The 3,482-nt window shown below is 40.5% G+C and overlaps 1 annotated feature.

Moving 5' to 3' along the window:
• Positions 2,820–3,009: a silencer, noted in NCBI's record as "fragment chr15:81353064-81353253 (GRCh37/hg19 assembly coordinates)". NCBI's record gives its function as "represses an EF-1alpha promoter that drives an FKBP-Casp9 reporter gene in an ReSE screen in phorbol 12-myristate 13-acetate-treated (for megakaryocytic differentiation) K562 erythroleukemia cells {active_cell/tissue: K562(+PMA)}" and the evidence as "EXISTENCE:reporter gene assay evidence [ECO:0000049][PMID:32094911]".

The following is a 3,482-nucleotide window of genomic DNA, read 5'->3' on the forward strand; positions in this document are numbered from 1 at the left end:
TTTGGCACTTTTGTAGAAGATCAGTTGACCTCAACCAAATGTGAGGGCTTGTTTCTAGACTCCTGATTCTGGTTTATTGATCTATGTGTCTCTCCTTGACCCAGTACCACACAGTCTTGCTTACTATTGTTTTGTAAGTTTTGAAATCTGGACGTATGAGTCTCCCAACTTCAGTTTCCTTTTAAAAATTGTTTTGGCTGTTTTAGATTCCTTGCATTTTCTTTGAGTTCTAAGATCAGCTTGTCAACTTTTGCAAAAAGCCATCTGAGATTTTGATGGAGATTGCATTGAATCTGTAGATCAGTTTGAGAAGTATTGCCATCTTTAAAATATTAAAGTCTTCAATCCATGAACATGGGATGTCTTTTCATTTATTTAGGTCTTCTTTAATGTTTTCAATGATGTTTTGTGCTTTTCAGTGTACAAGTGTTGTGCTTCTTTTGTCAAATGTATTGTGAAGTAACTTATTTCTCTTGTTGTTTTGGATACTTTTTTCAGTTGATTCTCTTATATTTTTAAATTATACAGTGATGTCATTGGCATATGGTACAAATGTAGTCTTGATCTGTCCAGTGTTTACAGTCCCTTCTTCTTTGGTCTAATTGTGTTAGGTAGTTTTTCTAGAAAAATATTAAACAAAAAATGGCTATATAAGCATCCTTGTGTTATTTCTATTTTTAAGGGTATGTTTATATGGAGATCACATACACACTCCACACACTTTCTCACATTAGGTGAGTTTAGGGGACATAACGTTGTTTCTATCTGCAATGTATTTCTTTAGGGAACCATCTACTGCTCATTCCAGGTGGTTTGAGTGGGAATGATTCTCAGCCTCCTAAAGTGGTATTTGACTCAGGCTTTGCCAGTCAGAAGACTTAATTATCTTTAGCAGAATTGGTTCAGCCATGTACATGTGTTTCAAGCTAAGCCAATTAGAATCCACTTTGGAACTTTACTGCTGAAACTGTGAAGAATGACATTCTTTTTTTTTTTTTGGTACTCATAAGCTTTGAGCTTGAATTAAAGCAGAGCTTCTTACAGCCATCTTTCTTAGCTACAAGGACAAAGCCATCTGCAGCTGGGCCAACATTAAAGGAGAAACAGAGACCAGTTGTAGCAAACTAGTCACAACTGAACTATTGAAAATCTGATTTCCAGTCAAGTCTTTTTTTTTTTTTAGGCAGAGTTGCTCTGTCGCCCAGGCTGGAGTGCAGTGGCGAGATCTTGGCTCACTGCAACCTCTGCCTCCTGGCTTCAAGCGATTCTCATGCCCCAGCCTCCTGAGTAGCTGAGGTGTGTGCCACCATGCCCGGCTAATTTTTGTATTTTTAGCAGAGACGGGGTTTCACCATGTTGGCCAGGCTGGTCTCGAACTCCTGGCCTCAAGTGATCCACCCACCTCACCCCGCAAAGTGTTGGGATTACAGACATGAGCCACTGCGCCTGGTCTCCAGTCAGGTCTAAAGCAAAGATATACCTGGGCTTTTCAAATGTGTGAGTTGATACATACTTTTTATTTTTTTCCTTAAAATAGTTTGAGTTTTTTTTTTCTTACAATGAAAAATACTGAGCAATCTAGAAAATTGATGCATTTCTTTTCTATTAAGGGTTATTTTTGTTTGTTTAAAAAACAAGAATACATATGGGAGTTTGTAAAGTGCCTACTGGAATTTTCTTATGCTTTTTCTCCTTTGATCTGTTAATATAATGTGTTACATTAATGGATTACCTAATATTGAACTACCGATAGATCTCATTTGGTCATTTTAAATTATTCTTTTAATGAATTGCCAGCATTCATTTGCTGACTAAAAAAAAATTAGAGACTGGGTGCAGTGGTTCATGCCTATAATTCCAGCACTTTGGGAGGCTGAGGCAGCAGGATCGCTTAAGGCCAGGAGTTCGAGACCAGCCTAGGTGACATAGCAAAACTCTGTCTCTATAAAAAATAAAACAATTAGCTGGGTGTAGTGGTGCATGCAGGTAGTCCTGGCTAGTTGGGAGGCTGAAGTGGGAGGATCACTTGAGCCCAGAAGTTTTAGGCTTCAGTGAGCTATGATTGTGCCACTGCACTCTAGCCTGGGTGACAGAGCAAGACCCTATCTCTGAAAAAGAAGAATAATAAAATTAATAAAGATTTTGGGTCAATATTTATAAGTATACTTCGTCAATGGGGAGAGATCCAAAAACTGATTGACTATGGGCCACATTCAGTCGGCTGACAAATTTTTTGTCCTATGGGTATTTCAAAATAGGGGCATTAAACAGAAACACCTGGATTTACAGCTTTTCTGGATTAACCATGTTGCTTCACTGAAAAGGCTGTCTGGGATGGAAAGGTGGTAGTTTCCTTTGTACTGCCGATGCTCTCCAATCTCCAGTATCGCCATTCACAAATGTGCAGTCCTGTGCTTTTAGTTGGTCAGTGTCACCCGTCTTAGTCACCTTCCTAGACTGTGAGGCCATTTAAATTTGTGACTTCTCTCAGTTTTCTTTTTTCTTCTGTTGTTTTCAGGTATTTGTGGCTGTGGAACAGTGAAAGTGATGTCAGGATGAAGTGTTCTTTGAAAGATTGGAAGAGTCACTTGTGAAAATATTGATGTGGTGCTTATTAGTAGTAGTATCTCTTTCACTTTTTAAAAAATAATTTTCCCTCTCCCAGCTTGTCTGAGTCTGTTGGCCCTCCCTGTATGGCTATGGTCTGAGAATAGCTTACAGGCTCCTCTGCCTTCCTGGACCCAAGGATACAGTGTGGGAAGGAGGAAATGTCACAGAGTTTTTGCACAGCCTTGACTGAGGACCTGGACTTGACTCTGATCTGAAAGATTGTTTATCGGGCCATTCCAGGGCTCCCTCCACAAGCAGGAGGGGGTGTATCTTTTTCCTGGGAGATTGCAGTGGGGGACCCCTCTTTAACCTTCGTGTCACTCTTCTAACAGCTTTGAGCCCTGGAGTCTGTTCTTACAGCCCTCAGGCCCCTTCCCCATTCCACTGGGTGCCCAACTACTGGTGTGGTAAGTCAGGGCCCTACTGACATTGGTTATTATTGTACATTTTTCCCAGGCCACACGATCACCCACTTAGATCAATGTCACTCCAAACTGGAGGCTATCAGTGAGTGTTCTCAGGCCTCTCCTCACCCCACCAACTTCCTCAGCACCTCCATCCATACAGTGTGGAGAGCAGAGGAGTGGGTTGGGATTTATGCTGCATTGCTCCAGCATCTTTCATCTCTTCCCCTTGTCATCATTTTTGAAAGTTTGTGGTTTCTGGGGTTAAGGAAGGTTGAGTTTGTGGAAGTCCGTGTAGTGGCAGCAAATTATCATAAATGTTTTTCACAGTGGAGATGCTCTCTGAATAGATCTAAAATCAGAGAAGGAAAGTTGACTTGTAGAGTGATCTAGAACAGTAAACTTTAGTTATCCTATAATCACCAGAAACAATTTGCTTAGATTAAAATTCAGCCTTCTGCACAAAGT

This window comes from Homo sapiens, chromosome 15 (genome assembly GCF_000001405.40).
Source record: "Homo sapiens chromosome 15, GRCh38.p14 Primary Assembly".
NCBI classification, from domain to species: domain Eukaryota; kingdom Metazoa; phylum Chordata; class Mammalia; order Primates; family Hominidae; genus Homo; species Homo sapiens.